The sequence below is a fragment of the Homo sapiens genome, chromosome 18, assembly GCF_000001405.40.
Source record: "Homo sapiens chromosome 18, GRCh38.p14 Primary Assembly".
NCBI classification, from domain to species: Eukaryota; Metazoa; Chordata; class Mammalia; order Primates; family Hominidae; genus Homo; species Homo sapiens.
Window position 1 is genome coordinate 41,371,206 of NC_000018.10, and position 18,979 is coordinate 41,390,184.

Genomic DNA, 18,979 nt, shown 5'->3' on the forward strand with positions numbered 1-18,979 from the left:
CTCATCTCAACCAAGTTCCAAATGCTAACGTATCAGTGTCAGAAACTGCAGTCAAGCACAACCTGTCCCCAAATCCCAGCCCCTTGAAACACGATGGCTCATTATTAACTTAAAAAGGATGATGACACTGATACTATTTATAGGTCCCTTCCAGGCAGGTCTGCCAGCGTTAAAGAAATTAACATGGAGAAATTGTCAACTGGAAAACATTAGTGTTTATCAACAGATCAATCAAACTTCAGCAACTGTAAACTGTGCTTTTAGCTAAGTGAAACCTACTAACAATAACAGCCACTTGCCCACCTTTCTGGGGAGTCCTATGTCCCCATATCCAAACCAAATAAACTGTCCCTTTGACACTGTGGCCATAATCCTGCTGCTGCCTGTTAGGGAAGAGTCTACCTGCCTCTGTCCCACATCCAGGAGCAAACTGGAATGATGGTGGTGTCAGTCATGTTTTAATTAGCTTTAACTGCCAGTTTGTAAAGTCTCAAGCAGACTAAAATAAATACTGGGGTTAGTGGCTCCAGAAGGCAAATTCTAGTTTCTTTATGAAAGGAAGACTCTATGATTTAAGGATTTAAGGAGTTTTTCTTGGTTCTCTCATCCTTTTAAAGCAGTGCTTGACTCTCATTGTTGTATATTTAGAGATGGTTCTATTTTCATTTCTGGGCTACAGCGGCGATGATGACATGGCTTCAGAACCTGAACAAAGCTGGAGAGCCCTGATAGGCTGCTGGTGATGTCATCCCTGTGCCTCTAATGCCCAGGAAAAGCACCAGGGACTGACTGTTTTCCTGACTTTTCTTTTCTTTCTTTTTTCCTTATTCTTCCTTTCTCCCCCAACCTCTTTTTTTTTTTCAAATATAAAAATCCCATTTTCACACTAACAGTGCATTTGGAGTTTCATATCCTAGCAACGTTATCACTAAAGGTAGCCGGTGACCGCTCCATACAGACCAACACTGCTTTGGCTTGATACACAGTTTCAGCTCTCAGGGAGAGGATTTTGTGCTGCATCACACTGAATATTGCGGCTCTGTAATTTCTTGTCATTATAGCAAACCCTTTGACGTGCTTCCTTTCTGTAACCCAGATGATCATCACCTGTCAAATTCGACTGCTCACACAAATTCTAACTAGAGGAACCTGACAATGGTAGGGGCCATGAAAACCAAAGGAGATAGAAAATACGGCAAGCGCACCTAGCTTCAAGATGACAATAGCCTTGACTCATCGCACAGGCTTCTTAGCTATCATATAGCCTCACCCACTGCCACCTTTTGTTATTTTTATGCATTCATTCCTAAAACTGCAGGACTGGGGAAATGTTTTTACTAGGGTAGGTTGGGATGGCCTGGGGCACCTAGAGGGAATAGAAGGAGCTCTCTGGATCCCGACTTAGATGGTTTCATTTTTGTATTCAGTGTGTAGCAAATTCTGTGTTCTCCTAAAAACAAAAATACAAAAACCAATCACCGCGGTTTTAGTTTCAACAACCTAGGTAAAACCCTCTCTAAGTCCCAAGTTTCTCATCTTATTAAGTGGGACAATAAAATGCATCTCACCAAGGAGTTGTGAGCATTAAATTCACTGCTGTCTATGGAGCACATAGTGTATAATAGGAGCAAAACTAAAATCTGTCAATTCCATTCCAAGCTTTGTGACACCACTAAATAAACAGGTAATGTAAAAAAATAAACAACAGGAAAAATAAACAATAAGGAAAAGTAATAAACAGCAAAAAAAAAAAAAGAAAAAGAAAAAAGAAAAACCAACAGGAGAAAAGGAGAATTGAGAACTGTAAACAATCTCCAAGCCAGGCCAAGGACACTTAGTACATTCTCAACTCCAGAGTCATTTCCCTTCCTTATAGCACTGCAATTGGCTTTCCCTGGAGCAAACACTACAATGCTAGAATTTGAGGAAAGGTGGAGGCATACGAATAATTCATTTAAAAACCAAAATCTAAAATTTGTTTAAAAATCTGATCTGTCTTCACTTGATGCAAGAGAGCTTCGATAATCCAAAGCAAAACCCTACCTACAGGATTTCTGCTCAGGAAATTTAGCAGGTCAATAAGCCTCAAAAAAGAAAAATCACAGTTGTAAAGGTATATTTGCAAAACTGTACTGAATGTTGTGAAAATTACATAATAAATATGAGTCATGGACCTTGCCATTGAGACTTACAATACAATTTTAACATGTAAACATAAATTTGTGAAAAGTGAATGAATATAATAATTCAAAACCAAAATAAGAGCTCAAGATAATAGTAGAAGACACATCAAAAGCAGGGTGTGATTAAATGTAAATTGTATTGTACACATAACTATCTCATAGGAACTAGAAAGAGAAAGATTTTACTTCTAAATGGAATGGTCAGAAAAAGTTTGAAAAAGAGTGTGAGCTACCCTTTGGGTCACAAAAGATGGGCTTGATTTGGTTAAACAATAGGAAGAGGGTGGATGGTCAGACAGAAGGAAAAGTTTGAGAACAGAGAACAGGTACAGCCATACTCAAAAAGTAGGTGGAAGAAAATGATTTGTGTAAAGGTGTACCAGGGAATATACTGGAAAGCTCTGAGGGTTCCATTAAAGACAATAGGTCCTGGAATGTAAAGCCATTCATTGTGCATTCAGTGTGGAAGAAGACAGGCAGTCATTTGCATTTAAACTTACTTTTTTTTTTTACTTTTGTGGATCTGAAATGCTTCATATGATCTATGCACACATTGGTTCCTTGGTTTCTGCTCCCCCAGTATTTTTTTCTTTCTTTCTTTTCTTCCTCTTTTTTTTTTTTTTTTAAGAGTCAGGGGCTAACTCTGTCTTCCAAGCTAGAGTATAGTGGTGGGATCATAGCTCTAGCTCATTGTAACCTTGAGCTCGTGGGCTCAAGTGATTGTCCCGCCTCAGCCTCTGGATAAGCTGGAATGCACCAGCATGCCCAGGTGATTTTTTTTAATTTTAATTTTTAGAGACAGGGTCTCACTATGTTGCCCAGGTGGGTCTCAAACTCCTGGCCTCAAAGCAATCCTCTCACCTCCCACTCCAATATCTTTGATGCTGTTCATTGTCACCCACCTCTTTATAGACAACAAACCCTGTCCAGATTCTAGTAAAAACCCACCAATCTATTATATTCTTAACACTTTGGTTTTCAATGTTTTTGACAGTTACAAATTCTAGTTTTGGTAGAATTTCTTCAGAATAAAATATTCTGTCTTTGTATCTGTTCATTTCAGGGTCCCACATTGTTTCAATACGAAAAAAAGTTATTTTAAATGTGAAAAATTTTTACTCAATTTATTAGATATGTAATATGTGTATAATGCTGATATAATGAATAATATTTTTCTTCTAATTGATTTGATCAGGAACATCAGCATCATACTTTCTTTGATTCTGCACTCCTTTACTTTCATTTTCTAGGTACGTTTTATATAGTATGCTATTCTTAATGCAAGCTCACTTTTCCCGGTAAACAACATAGAAAGACCAAGTTTTACAGCTTGCCTAAAAAACTATAGTGCAACCTAGGGAATGATGGAAATATAGTAACCATCAGTCTGGTATCATGCAGATTACAACATGTACTAAAGTTTTTTTCCAAGGTATTCCCACCTTGTTTTCCTTTTAAATTTTCTGACTCATTCTGAAGTTTTCACTGTTTGGACCAAATTTGTTTCTTTTCATTTAAATTTTTCAAATCCATCTCTTATAATTTCTAACTGTTCAATTAGACCAGTGGGGCATTTAAATTGTTTTGTTGTTGTAGTTATCTAAATTAGCAGAACACCATTCCACTCAGAGGCAGATACTGCAAATTGCAGGCAAAGGGCCAGTCCCAAAGAAGCAACTGCTGATTGCCAAGATATATGCCTAGAAAACTAAATTCTACATCAATTGATTGCTCCTGTCACATTACACAGGTGATTTTGAATCAATAATTTCGTTTCAGAATTAACTAAATATGTTATTCGCACTGACACATTAAATGTTTTCAAGAAGAAACTTTCATGCTCATTGGAGAACAATTGCTGTGATCTCAGGGACAGATAGTATCTTCAAATTACCTATGTATTCTCTAGATCATAGGCAGATAGTTCCTGGCCAGACAAAGGAAGAAGAGTTTCTAGTTTAACGTATCTACGAACCATGAAAGTTATTTTATTCTATAGAGCTTTGTGTATGGCTGGAAGAGAGCCATTTCTAGTTTATTAAGAAAATTTATCCTTTTCAAGCATACCTTTAAAAGTTGCTATTTCATGGCTGGGCACAGCACTTTAGGAGGCTAAGGAGGGAGGATCACTTGAAGCAGGCATTCGAGACCAGCTTGGCAACATATCAAGACCTTGTCTCTACAAAAAATTAAAAAACGTTAGCTGGGTTGGTGGTACATGCCTGTAGATGGAGCTACTCTGAATGCTGATGTGGGAGGGTCGCTTGAGCCTAGGAGTTAGAAGTTACATACTTCTATGAGCTATGATGGCTCACTCCAGCCTGGGTGATAAAGCAAGACCCTGTCTCTAAAATGAATAAACAAATAAATACAAGTTGCTATTTCATTAGTTATGAAGGTTTATTCATCATATTCTTTCTTTCTTTTTCCTTTTTTATGCATTTTTTTTTTTGAGACAAGGTTTCCCTCTGTCGCCCAGGCTGGAGTGCAGGTGCCAAATCTCTGCTCACTGCAACCTCCACCTTCTGGGCTCAAGTGGTCCTCCCATCCCAGCCTCCACAGTAGCTGGGACCACAGGTGTCCACCACCATGCCCAGCTAATTTTTTGTATTTTTGGTAGAGACGGAGACGGAGTTTCACCACGTTGCCGAGGCTGGTCTCAAACTCCTGAGTTCAAATGATCCACCCACCTCGGCCTCTCAGACTCCTGGGATTGCAGGTTTGAGCCAATGCGCCTGGCCCATTTTTTCTTTTTTAAAGAAAATTATTCCTTCAATACATATTTATTGAGGGATTAATATGGGACAGACACTGCTAGACACTGAGTGGATCCTTGGTGAACAAAACAGACATGTCCTCTGCTCTCATGTATTGTTGAAAGAATAAAACAGGGTACAAGGATAAAAAAAAAATACAGGGAGGAGATTTGTGAGGTATGATGGTCAGGGGACGTCCCTGTGAAGAGTTGACATTTAAACATACACATGACAGCTGAGAAGGAGTCATTCTTGCAAAGAGCAAAAAGAATAGCATGTGCAGAAAGCCTGAATTAGGAAAGAATTTAGCAAGTATGTTAAAAGAAGCCTGAGCTGCTGTAGCAGAGTGAGCCATGGACAGAGAGGTACGAGATAAATTTGGAAAGGAAAGTAAGAACCATAGCAGCCACGGACATAGGTAAAATATTATTCAAAATGAAGGAGAAAATACCAAAGAATTATAAGAAGGAATACAAAATAAACAGACAACAATTTATAAAGCTCACTTTGGCAGGGTGCCGTGGCTCAAGCCTGTAATCCCAGCACTTTGAGAGGCCAAGGCAGGAGGATCGCTTGAGGCCAGAAGTTCAAGCTTGGCCTGGGCAACATAGTGAGATACCATCTCTACAAAGGTAAAATAAATAATAATCATAAAAATAAATCACTCTGATTATTATAGGATAATTGCATTAGAAAGGCTATGAATGTAAACAGGGAGAATGGTTCAGAAATTTTCAGTAGTTTAGGTGAGAGATGATCGTGGTAGCTTGCAGTGGAGTGAGAGCAGTGGAGATAGGGAAAATTAGATTTATGTGAAACACACACACACACACACAAACACACACACCAAAAGAAACATGTGTGTATTTCATCTGTTTCAGATGGATAGAGTTGGGTTGTCAGAGAGAGAGAAATCAAACTGAGCAGATGGCTGACTGGTGGTAGCTTTTCTAGATAAGGTTTGATGGAGGCAGCTTTGGGGAAGAGGAATACTGGGAATGCCATTTGGATCACCTGAATTTTGAGATGCCTATGAGCCATCCAATTGGTGACATCCAGTAAGGAGTTGCTATACACATGGGGAGCTCAAAAGAGAGGCCAAGGTTGGGTTGAAATGTGGAAGCCATCAACATATAGATGCCATTTGATAGCATGGCAATGAATGAGATCATCTAAGGAGAAACTGCACAACCAATCCACCCCCGGATGAAGATTAGGGGATTTCTAATATTTGGATGCTGGGGAAAAATGCAGGAACATAAAGAGGCCAAGTAAAGTGGCCTGAGAAGTGGAAAGAAAATGATGATTGTTTAGTGAAATATAATCCAAGAAAAGAGAATGATTTGAGAAAGAAAACAGTCCATTTGAGAGAGCCCTCTGTGTTGCAGCATAGAGTTAAAAATTTGCAATGGCCACAAGTCACTCTTGCTCTAAGGGTGGGGTCACAAGCCAGCCATCAGTGGCTTGGGTCCCCAAGGAATAATAGGCCTTGGCTTCATCCTTGTTTTAATGTCACATTGAAAATATTTCCCAAATATATGTTATTGCTTTATCTGTGGTTATATAATGTTCTACACAATTGGTCTGTTTAATTTTGTGACAGAAATTCAAACTGGTTGTTTAATTGAATTTTTCCATTATTTCTGCTTATAATTTATTTGTGTGTCTAAATATATCCTGAAACACAGACTGGGGCCTATGTACTCAACAAACAAGCAAACAGAAATCACTCAATGAAGAGGAACAAAACATCCTGTTTCTGAAAGAGGCAGATAAATTTGTATTTATTTATTTTATTTTTTCACTATTCAGCTTTTGAACTTTGGTTGCTCAAATTCAGGAGATAATTGTTTAAGTTGCCACAAGAATCATCCTGTGGAATCTCAGCGTGAAGCTAGCAGTACTAAAATGTGCAAAATTTGAACTCCAAAGGAAATTTCATCCCCTCATATCATCAGACTGAAAACATCCAAATGGTTAGAGATTTACCTTTGTCCGTTGAACCTCTCACCATGTCAGTGGATCTCCCACGTTAAAAAAACAGGCGGAATTCTGGAAGTTGAAATATACAGGCCACATAAGTTTGGTATCTTGGAAACATAAAAGCAATTAAATGCTCCCTCAACCCACACACAAACACACATACAACACATCATCCCTTAAGATGTGACATCCAACTTCTAATAAAAAATTTCGCCAACAATAAAGCCATGAAAGCAATGCACATTGTCTGAATAAAAGCCTTCTTTTGACGAGAAAATGACTATTAATGAGAACATGTTCGTTTCTGACATCAAGCTTGAAGAGACATAGGTCATAAATCTCTTTGATCTTCTTGCTAAAGCTAGAATCAAGCAAAGAAGTTCATTCATTTAAAAAAAAAATCCTTTTGATTGAAATGATTCCATTTAGTTACAAGTAATTTATCATGTTTCTCTTTCCCTTCCCAGGTTTGGTTTGTTTTTCATTCTCGACTCCATCATCACAGTTAAATCTTTGCTTGGGTTCCAACTCGTTGTTACTTAAGGGTTTCTTACTTGAAGGAGGTCAGGCAAAACTTCTAAGAGAAATGTGTACTGGTAGGGGGGTCTAGTCTGGGAGATGAGACAAACAACAATAAGAATTCATAAATTTTGAACAAAAAAAAATGTCTCTCGTAGTCAGCCTGTAAGCTGCCTTCACTTGGTTTAGACGCATCAACACTGCCCTCTCTTGTTTTTTCACAGCTTACATTGAAACTTTGGCTTCAATGCACACCCTTAACCAATCCAGCATCTCTTTCTTCCCATTGCTTCCCGAAAGTCACCACCAAAAACAGAACATAGAGTTCTGATATATTCTCTTCCAGTTCCATTTATTCCCAGTTTTATTAAATATGGGATCTTTTGTTTATTTCTGGGTGTGTCTGCTCCTGTCTTAATACAAAGGACCTGGGAGGAGCAGGAGGTGTAAGCCTCTTATGAGCAATGTCCCTTTGGACATGTCATTCAAGCAGCCCTGACAGAACTGCCATCTTTTTATTTCTATAAGGATGATGAATTCCACTTCCAATATACTCTGAGAACGTATTTGCAGATTGCCGTCCTGGCTGCAAGGTAAAATTTGGAGTCCTTTTTTCGATTATTTCAAACCAAACTTCCTCACTATCTGGGGCCTCGGAACTTCCTTGGTGAAAAGAATTAAAGCCAGAGGGTTATTGTGCAAAGCTGCAGGAGTGTCTGCACACCTTTCGTGAGGCAGAGAAGGCAAGAGATTGCCAAATACTCACATCTTTACCTCTCTTAATTTTCAACAAATAAAATTTAAAGGAAGGATTTTTCTCTCCATTTCTGAAAGAATTCAGAGAAAATGGAAGATATTCAGGCTTAAGTCACTGATTGGCACAGTTAATTATCCCTCTTGCTTCCCACTCTTGATTAGCATTTTGATTTTGGTCAAATGAGTTGGAATCACAGGACAGAAAGAAGTATTAAAAAACAAAATGATCACTTGAGTCATAGGCTTTTAATTTTTTACATGCAAAATTTTGGAACTACCACTCTAGCTCATTCACAGGATACAAGCTATTTTTTTTAGTGCTTCTGAATACACAAATCTGAGATGGACCAAAATGAGGCTAAGAAAGCTAGATGAAAACCTACAGCAGCTCTTCCCTTCTAGGTCAAATATGTGTTTCGATTTGGGTGGGAAAGGTGTTATAGGAAAGCTCTCAACTTCCTCTTCCCATAAAACCTGTGGGTGAACAAGGGTAAAATAGGTTCCATTTCTTTTGTCTCATTTCATTAATTATTGGTAACCATCTGTCACTGCATTAAAGAAGGACACTGATGACCTGATTGAGTTCAGTAGGGGGAAAAATAATTCTGGGATCTATTAATGATGCATGCCACAGGAGTAAGAATAAGGAAGGAGAGTATCCATAATTGTTTCAGACTTGGCTTTTCTTGTTAGGAGCCAGCTCAGGATGTAGGAAGTCCATGCTTTTCTTTTGCACTTAGAGAAGACTGGCTTATTTGTTTAGCAGTATGCAAAGGAGGGCTTTCCAGAAGTGAGAGACAGGACTGACCACTTAGAGGTGGAGGGAGGACAGGAAAAAATTTAACTTATTTACCTGAAGAGAGAGAAAAAGATCTTCAGGTTTCTCAGCAGCCAAGAAACAGCAAAACAAGGCACAGAAAGGTACCTCTAAATAACAAATGGCCGGATACAATATTGGAGGAGGGCGAGGCAAGTGTTCACTTGATGAGAAGGTAACACTGAGAAGGATGATTTCAGTATTTCAGTTTTCAACCACTATCAGCTTGTGCCTTTTTCTATGGTGTCCTGCTCATAATTCAGCATCCAGTGGTGTTCTGCTTCCTTTCCTTCTCACTTATCCAAACTTACTCTTGGGGAAACCTCTCACATTGGCCATCCAATGGCTAATATTGGAGATACTTTGCCACTGTCATTGTCAAAATATACCTGTTTCACCTCTAGGCATTTGGAAATGGCAAGAGAAGATAAAAACAATTTTATCAAATGTCTATGAGATTTTCCTGCCTCACTCCATACTATAGACTTGCAGAGCCCCAGATGGCCGACAGTTTATCTGAATGGGCATTATCAGCTTGTTTTCTTGTTGTAATGAAACAATTACTGAATTTTAACTCATCAGGTATATATTCAAATCCTGTGATTCTTTTGCATGCCATCTGGGTGACCTTGGCCAAGTCACTTAACCTCTCTGAGTCTAGTTTTCTGTCCTATAAAATGAGGAAAATAATTCCTGCCTTGCCTACTTCACAATGTTGCTGTGAAGATCAAATGAGGTACTGTATGTGAAAGTCCTTTGAAACACTACAAAACACTGCACAGATGCAAGCTATTGTTATAAAGCTGAATCCCGGTGGGTCCCTGTGGTTTTTGAGCCATACGTGTGCATGCTGGGTCTAGTCTATCATTATTTCTAAATATGGCTGGTCTACTGGCTTCTGAAGTTTCCACATGAAATGCAGTCTGTGTATTTGCTCGAAGCCTCTGCTCTATGTCCTCAAATAATGGGCCATTTAGTGTTACATTCCAAACCAGCAGAACCAGCATTTCTGACCTTGTACCTGTGACCTGCAGAAGTACTATTGTATCTCAGAGATAAACGTATCTGAACTGCAAGGTGCTTAAAGATATATTTAGTGCATAGGGATTTCATTTGTCACCGAGCGATTTTACAGTGTCTGATATAAGCTGGAGATTTTATGATCTATAATCAAAGGCTTTTGCAGATACCTCTCCTTAATTTGGATTTGTGACAGTATTAAAAAAATGGGACTTTCATCTTTGGATCCATTTTACTTACTTGGGTGAAATAGCAATGTATGCTTTTAAGTGAAAGTCACTTAAAAATTTCAGACTGTCCTTAGTAACGCAGGAACTCTTGACACAAACTTGTACTATTGACTTAAGGAAAAAATATTCTATTTCCTTCCTCTTTTGATCACCATGGAATCTTCCTTGAACAGACTGCTTTCACTTCTAAAGCTCAATGAACTAGAGGTCTAATGGGCATGAATGTAGAGGATATTTATCTTGTTGCAACTGTAGACAGAGTCTTTATCACTGAAAGGTGCATGGCATGATGGAGGTAAAATCTTGGAATGTTAGAACTAGTCCAGAACATTCGGAGTGTTTTTTTAAAGAGTCTCATTTTACATATGTAAAAGCTGAGCCTCAAATAGACTTAGAAGTACACCAAAAAACATACTTTCATGATTCACAAAATATGTACTAGAATCAAATAAGGCAAAAGTATCCTCTCTAGTGCACAACAAATAAACAATTTTATTATGAGTAATATATCAGTCTCTCTACATTTTAATAAATTTCTACAGATAATTTGAGCCATGGAATCTTACTTTATGGCATATAGCACTTTTCCCCACCCTACTAAAAATGTCATGAAATAATGAAGAAGGATTCTTCCTTCCACCAAGCTGTCTGAAGATGTTAAATCCATGTAAATATTTTATGGTATATTTACCACTCACGTGAGTAGATTGCATGCATATACCAAGTGAGGAAAACCAACCAACCTCAAACACAAAACAAATTATTTCTTCCTTATCCCACTTTATTTATTCTTTTGAGATAAAATGTAATACCTAGTGATGCAATTAATGTTGAATCTATCTCTCAGGTTCCTAGGACTCCAAATCTCAGAAGAGTCTAAAAATAATATTTCTGCTTGGTCTCAATTAAACACTTACCCCTATTCTCCATCACCTCATCTCCAGGGCCTCTAGCCTCACTTTTTTTGTTATAAATCTGTGCTCTTATGGCTTCCACTAAAGAGAAGCCAAAGGTCAGCCATCAACAGTTGTCATCTTACATTGTGAGAGTGCACTACACAGGTGCGTATAAAGGAAGATGGCAATCACAGGAGCCATCTTGGCGTCTGGCTGGCACAACTCACAAAGTAAAAGAAAATACAGAGAGGAATTGATAGATTCAATAAATATTTGAGGAGTGTTTTTCTAGAGACCTGAAAAAAAAATTGTGGCTGGTTTTAAAACAAGTGGAAATGCTCAATATTACGGAGTCTGCACCACATTATATTGTGAAGTCCAGCTAAAATGTTGCTCCAGCAGATGAACACCTGCTTTCTAGAACAAGTTTAACCCACCAACATCTGTGTCTATACCTTGCTGTCATTGGAGTTTATGAGATGTAGTGACCCTCCCTGAGCAGAGGCCAGCCTGACCCACACCCAGGTCAAGACACTGATGCCATTTTCTCACAAATTTTTTTTTGTGCCTTCTACATTTCAAGTGTCTGTTCTGTTGCCTGGATATTTATAATTCTTTTCTTAATATTGATTGGACAAATCCAGTGAGAAAACTGACTGGTTCCATGATGCCTCAGAAGCTGGGCTCTATTTTAAGACATAATTTTATTAGCAACAGCAACTGAATCACCTGGCCACAAGAAGTTTTTCCCTTGGCTTGGGAACAAAATTGGGTCTTGAGCCAGACTATGAACAAGCTGATGGTGTGCAAATGCCAGCACTAAGACAAGGGATGCCACTCAGCTAAAGGGGCTCAAGGAAAATGAAACTGAAGTGAGATTTGGCAATACTATCCCCCACACTTGATCAGTTGATAACTATTGTAATGGAAAACTGAACACAATGGAAGATTGAACATAAGGCCCAAGGAGAGACTCTTCAGGTAGCCAAATTCTGATAGAGGCTTTTGGGAAAGTGGGCTACTTAGATATTTAGATAAGAAAGACCATATTTAGATATACAGAGGTATTTTATTTTTGAATATCCTTAGGTCCAAGATGATTTGGAAACATTTCAGGATAGAACAATTAACAGAAAAGCTGTAGAGTTGTATGTCAGAAAACATGATTTAAATGGCTTAATATAAGTCGAAGTCCTTCAGTAGATTAGGCTTCAGAGCTGTATTGATTCAGACCTGGATCAGTTCTACCTTCTCACTTGCTTCTATAGAGCCAGTCTCATCCCAAGACTGGATTCCCCAGTGAAAACAAATTTGTTGCTACACTTCCAGACTTCACATCTGCATATCAACCACCATCCTGATGAAGACAAAGTGAGCTTTTTTCCCAGCATCTCTGACAGAGATCCAAAATGGACTCATTAGATTGCTTAAACTGGATGGTTAATGAGTGTGGCCAGGAGAATAGAATGTGCTGATTGGTTTACTCCCAGTGGGTCCCTGAACTGGACCAGTGGTGAGGCCAGAAGTCCAAATCCTTCAAAGAACAGAATTGCAAGAAGTACAGATACCCCAATTAAAATTAAGTCTGTGTTCAGGGGAGGATCCTGAGGCTTAGTGAAGTAAGGTGACTTCCCAAGACCACGCTGTAGCACAATGAGTAAGGTTTGACCCTCAACTCTGACAGGCATAACCACTGTCCCAGCCTCCAACTTTTATTTTCAACCCAAGTGGCTTCTGAACTTGACTCTTCTGGCTTTTCTCTTCTAACCTGTTGAATAATGTGATGGCATTGCATGACCCATAAGGTCCTATTCATGCTATAATTCTATTTTCCCTGTAGCAAAAAGGTGGTATATGTATATGTTTTGCTTCAAAGCTATAGATATTAGCATTTGCTGGTCTAGTATGAATACCAATCATGTCTGTGTTAATTAAGGTCTGCAATTAACCCAACTAGGAGACAATATCAAGAGTAACTTGAAAACAAGAATGAGTCTGAGATTCATTTCTTTATCAATTCACTCACTGGCAAATGTTTATTGAGTTCCTATTATTTGGCAAGTAATATTCTTTTTTTTTTTTTTTTTTTTTTTTTTTTGAGATGGAGTCTCACTCTGTCGCTCAGGCTAGAGTACAGTGCCACAATCTTGGCTCACTGCAACCTCCGCCTCCTGGGTTCCAGTGATTCTTCTGCCTCAGCCTCCTGAGTAGCTGGGAATACGGGCGCGTGACACCACGCCTGGCTAATTTTTGTATTTCATCATGTTGGCCAGGCTGGTCTCAAACTTCTGACCCCAGGTGATCCACTTGCTTTGGCCTCCGAAAGTTCTGGAATTACAGGTGTGAGCCATTGTGCCCGGCCTTGCCAAGCAATATTCTAAGTAGTAGGATGGGCAACCTTGCTACAAGTGTCATCTGTGGACCAAGGGCATTGGTACTCATGGTGAACATGTTAGAAATGCAGACTCTCAGGCCGTACCCAAGTCCCCCAGATCAGAATTTGCATTTTTAACAAGATCTCCAGTTCATTTGTATGCACATTAAAGTTGGATAAATACTGTATAAGAAAACAAGATAAAGTCATTGACCTTTAACTAACAAAAAAGAAAAATTTTAAAAAACCATGTTCTTTTACTTAGGTTATAAAGAATAATATTCATTTATGTATTCATTAACATGTTACCAAAATACAATTGTATTCTAATTGATTATAATTTTCAAGAATGAATTATCAATTTAGAGGAAATTGAGCTCTTGATTCTCTTATCGATGTCCAAGAATCATCCATTCATTCCATTTTATCTTTGAAATACATAATTACTTCTTAAAAGATTTAAACATTGAGGAGAAATGGTCCTAGGTAATATATATAGCATCTTAGAAACCAGAAAGAATTGGTAGAAAGTATTATAGAACTATCAAGTGTGGGCTACTTTAACGCTCAGGGATGGTATCTACTGTTTTTTATTTGGAAAATATTCTTCTGGTTTATATGAGATGAGGAACAGCAGCCTCTTCTGGTTCTTCACAATGAGGCTTTGGATATTACATATTCTGGAATACAGCAGGTTAAATGAAATATTCATTTTATCTTTCAAAACACAGACTGGAACTGTACCCAATGCCCACTGGGAAGTATCAAAGAAGATAAATTATTGGGAAAAGCAGATTTTGCCTTCTTCTTCTCTCTGGTCTATGTGCTTTCCAAATCCAGACTCTCTTTTCTTTTTTCCTCCCCTTTGGGAGCATTTTAAGAAGATAAATACAGATTTATCATTTTTAGCCCAAATGAATGTTTTCAAAATAAGTTGTGGTGCTGTCTGCCAGCAGTAGGCACCCCTGTGTTCACTAGTAAAATTCTGCCAAACCCTCAGTCCTCATGGGCACCTTTGCACTCTAATTGCCAAAAAGGAAAGGAAAAAAGCCTCACATCAAGTATGTGGCACCCAAGGGATAGAAAAGCAAAGAATATGCACATGAACAGTAACATTTTTCAAAGAAGAAACATAATTTGCTGGAGCAGTGATAGGTGAATGGATTTTTCTACAGATATTCACTCCACAGTTTAACCATTAATAACTTCTTTGCCCTGGATGGAAACATTTACACATGGGACCTCAACATGGTCCTAATGGTAATACCTAGTTATCAACCCTAAGATCAGATCCATGCAGGGTGGTTTTGTAGGCTGTGCCTTGCACAGCTCCACTGTACATCCCCACAAAGCAACATTCATGCAGATGATAATGTGCATGGCATCTGCAGGGTTGTTCAGCATGTCCACCCACCACCTAAAGTTCCTTCTCAACAACAATGCAGTCTTTCATCAGAAAATCATTGACACCTCAGCCTGCCATTCCACCTCCTTCCACTATTCCATGCTCACCATAAGTAACTCTAAACTTGGTGAAATGATTTAAACTTTCATAACATAACTCTTCTCCACCTATATCTTCTTTTGGTCCGTGACACCTAAAATGAACTTCCAACTTTTGACTAATTCGTCTTTCCTCTAGGACATCCACACAAAAAAATAATAATTGCCAACTTTGTTTATTTGTTTGGTTTTTAAATACAAAAATAGTGGAATGGTCAATAAATAGAAAAGATGCATCTGGTAAACAATGTAAGTGTCCTGGGCTTTCTGCAAATCTCAGCCCAATGGCATGTATTTGCAAACAAGACCACTTCGTTAGTTAAAATTTCATGTGGGATATCACATAATGTTCGGAGAACTCTGCTGTCTGCCACTACCATGAACAAAGTTGTTTATCAGAGTTTCTTCTCTCCCTACACTGACTGGAGACACTCACATTTATTCTGTAAATGTATTCTTTTTATTTTTCTGTAGATTATATTGCTGTAAATATCTCATTTCTGTGAATGTAATTACTGCACCTTCAATAGCCACCAAGAACAGGTGCACAATGACATTTGATGAACAAAGAAGAGAATGAATTAATTAATAAATGAGTGTGAAACACTGTGCTGGAAATGTTTCTACACAAGAATTAAGGAAAACTTAAGATCATGATTCAACCATTGGGTCTAGCATCTAGTTGAGGTTCCAAAACCATGTTGAGTTAAATTAAGGTCTAAATCTTTGCCAATTTCCAAATAGTGAAGTGAACAGTAGTGATAATAGTGCAAAAGTCATGGGGTGTGTCAGGGGTTGGGGAGATTGTTAAGGTCTGAAGAGATGAAGTTTGAGCTGCCCTTCAATGGATGTGTAAAATTTATTTCAAATCGTGCTAATTTATACATAGCCATTTATAAAGATGGGTAATCTTAATGACTAAGGAAAGTTCATTAACAAAAGAGACAAGAGACCTAGGATTTTTATGTCACCATAATGTTTGCTAACATAAGCACAGTATTTGCCTTACAAATCTGATATAAGAAGACACCATTTCTTTAGGATGAAGCAACTCTCTGAAATCACAATTCTTTGTAGTTGTCTGATGGCAGATTATATTTTTACCACCTATTCTTGCCTTGATTTAGGACACATTATAGAATGTTTGGTGGAAATTGGCACTGAATACAAGAGCCCCTCCAGACAATTTTAAAGTATATGCAATCTAATTAGCAGAGAGAAACCCTCAAAAATGGTGTCTGGACTCAAAGAAGATGAGAGTGTCCCTGATCAGAATTCTTCTTAAAATCTATTTAATCAATAGATACATATGTAGTGATCAGTTTGGCATCCTTGAATGTAGCATTGGTATAAAAAATGCATCTCATTCTGATGCATTTGGTGCCCCTAAACCCATTCTAAATGTGTCTTTGATCCAGTTCCCCAAATAGTGATCAGGCTGGAAAAATAAATAAATAATAAATTTTATTTGTGTGTATTTATTTCTTTAAAATAGCAGCTTTGAAGAATCTATGTGTTGGCCAGGCAATACAAAAAGTGAGGTCCCTGGGTTCTGGTTAAATAAAGTTGCACCATGTTGTGTATGTGTATATGTGTCTTTTTAAAAGTCTTATCTCTTTAACAGTGGTGTTTCTATAATGATTTAATGATAGCTGCTGATGGTTTGGCACTGCCTTTCCTTCTTAACAGTATGAATAAAGCAATAGGGCATCTGTGATATGCAGACATATAAATCTCAAAACAAAAAGGGTCATTTGGATCTCCCATTGCTCAGAAAACACCATTTATATTTCCCATATGCTTTATTTAGTTATCTGAGTGTTTCATTATACTTTTTTCTATTTCCTTTGCTTCTGAGGGCATTGACCCATCTCTTTCTTAAGACATAAAGAATAAGAACAGAGATTTAAAAATCACAGCAATTCAACATTAAGTCCTCCACTTCCTCTCATCTTTGGTGAAAATTTAATGACATTTGAAACCTGACTCCATCCTTCATGTCCAGGAGGGTGTTAGTAACTTAACCTTTTATTTCCCCATCGAATATAAATTCTGCCTTTGCTAGGAAGGATTAGCCAAGAATAGGGCAAAACCATTGTATTCCACTTCAGAAATGGCTCCTGGAGAGTGCTCTGGGTGAACTCTCCTCCGGATTGCCCTGGTCCTCAGCTGGCCCTTTGTACAGAGGAATGAGTAAGTAGATCCAGGGAGGTTGTGATGCTTTTCTCTATTCCTGCAACCCTGAGGAACAAGTAGAATTCATCAAGGTATCTTTGCTTGATTGCACCTCATTGTCCGTACCTTTTATCATTTGATCTCTTGAGATTTTAATGATTTGATGATGATCTGTTTGTCAGGATGCCTGCAAGCATAGACCTGTGAATCTGCTTTCCTGATAGACTGGCACCCCAAGGTATACTTTTTTTATCAAAAGGTAACATCGATCTCAGTGTTGCTTTTCCATTATTCAGTCCTGCCACCTATTATTTGCTACTGGCCGGGCCTCTGTCAAGTCCTTTAACCTTCTGAGCCTCAGTTTCTACATGTGTAAAATGGGGATAGCAATATCTGCCTTGCATGGTTGCTGAGATGATTTTTTTAGATTCAACAGCCTGATGTATATAAGACATATCAGTGTGCCTGACATTTAGTAGACACTCAAAAAATGTCAGTTTCTTTTCCTTTCTCAGTCTTCATTGAATTTCCACCATGATACAAAGCATGGAAATCCACATAAATCTGGAAATTTCTTTGGAATTAACGAAAAACATTAATATTTCTCACATGTGACTAATGATACTTCTTGAACCAAAGCTGAACTCTAAAATCCTTTCGGAGCTCTCTCCCTCCTTGTCCATTATTACAGCAGCTCATATCAGAGCATCTGTCAAAAATTGCACTGGGACACATTTGGCAGTCACTTTCCCCCTCATTCACTTAATGTTATCCATCAAAGGGCAACCATAGTCAAAGAAGCAATGGTACAAATGAAGATATGGAGCCATGAGAAGTTTAAAGGAAAAAAAAAGTCAAATCGGTTTTGATCGTTGTCCATTGTCTGTGAGATATGACTTCTGTCATTACAGGATGCACTCTAGCACTAACTTTGTGGTTCAGTATATCTCTCATGGGTCCTTGAAATGTGATTTTATTACCGGAATTACTGAGAGGACCATGCAGTGCCATGGGATTAACTGGAACTAGGTCATGAGACACCAACGAGAGTTTTGCAAATACAAATGTGCAAATGGGTTTCTCTGTTCATGGTGGATTAGATCAATCTTGTCTGTAAGGCTTTGGCAAGTCTACCATTTTGTTGGGAAATGACTGCAGAACATCCATCTTCCCTGGACTCTAAAACAACTTCCCCTCTGTTCTTTGAGTGAGTCCACTAGTGCACAGAATGGAGCCAATGAAGGCAATGGTCTAAAAAGCCTTGCCACCTGAGGTATCTGGGTACATTATCAGACAGATGAGAGGGAGACACATTCACATTGGATCCATTTCACATCAGATGCATTGCACGGCATAAACAGTAACAGGAAAGGAAAGGCTGGGTGCCCCTGCCACCAGCCTCAGAGCCGCATGAAGTTATCACCTAACATCAGCAGCCCGACCCTTCCCTGGACTCTCTGGGAGGCAGCCCTATGCTATGCCTACCTCTTCGTTAGGCTTCTCACTAACAGCACCTCTTAGCACTAATTCAGATGGTAAAATAACACTGCCTCTGCCCCGTGTAATCAAACAGCAGAAGGAATGTGGCACCAAAAAGCCCGAGTATGAGGAAGTAATAAATATGTTTTAAGATGACAGTTTCAAGGAGCCTAAGCCTGCACGACAGAGTTGAAGGCAGACAGCTTCAGATGGCAGAAGCTGCTGAGGAGATGTCTTCGAGACCAGCAGTGTCTGAAAGGAAAGAACAGAATGCAGGCCAGGTCTGGA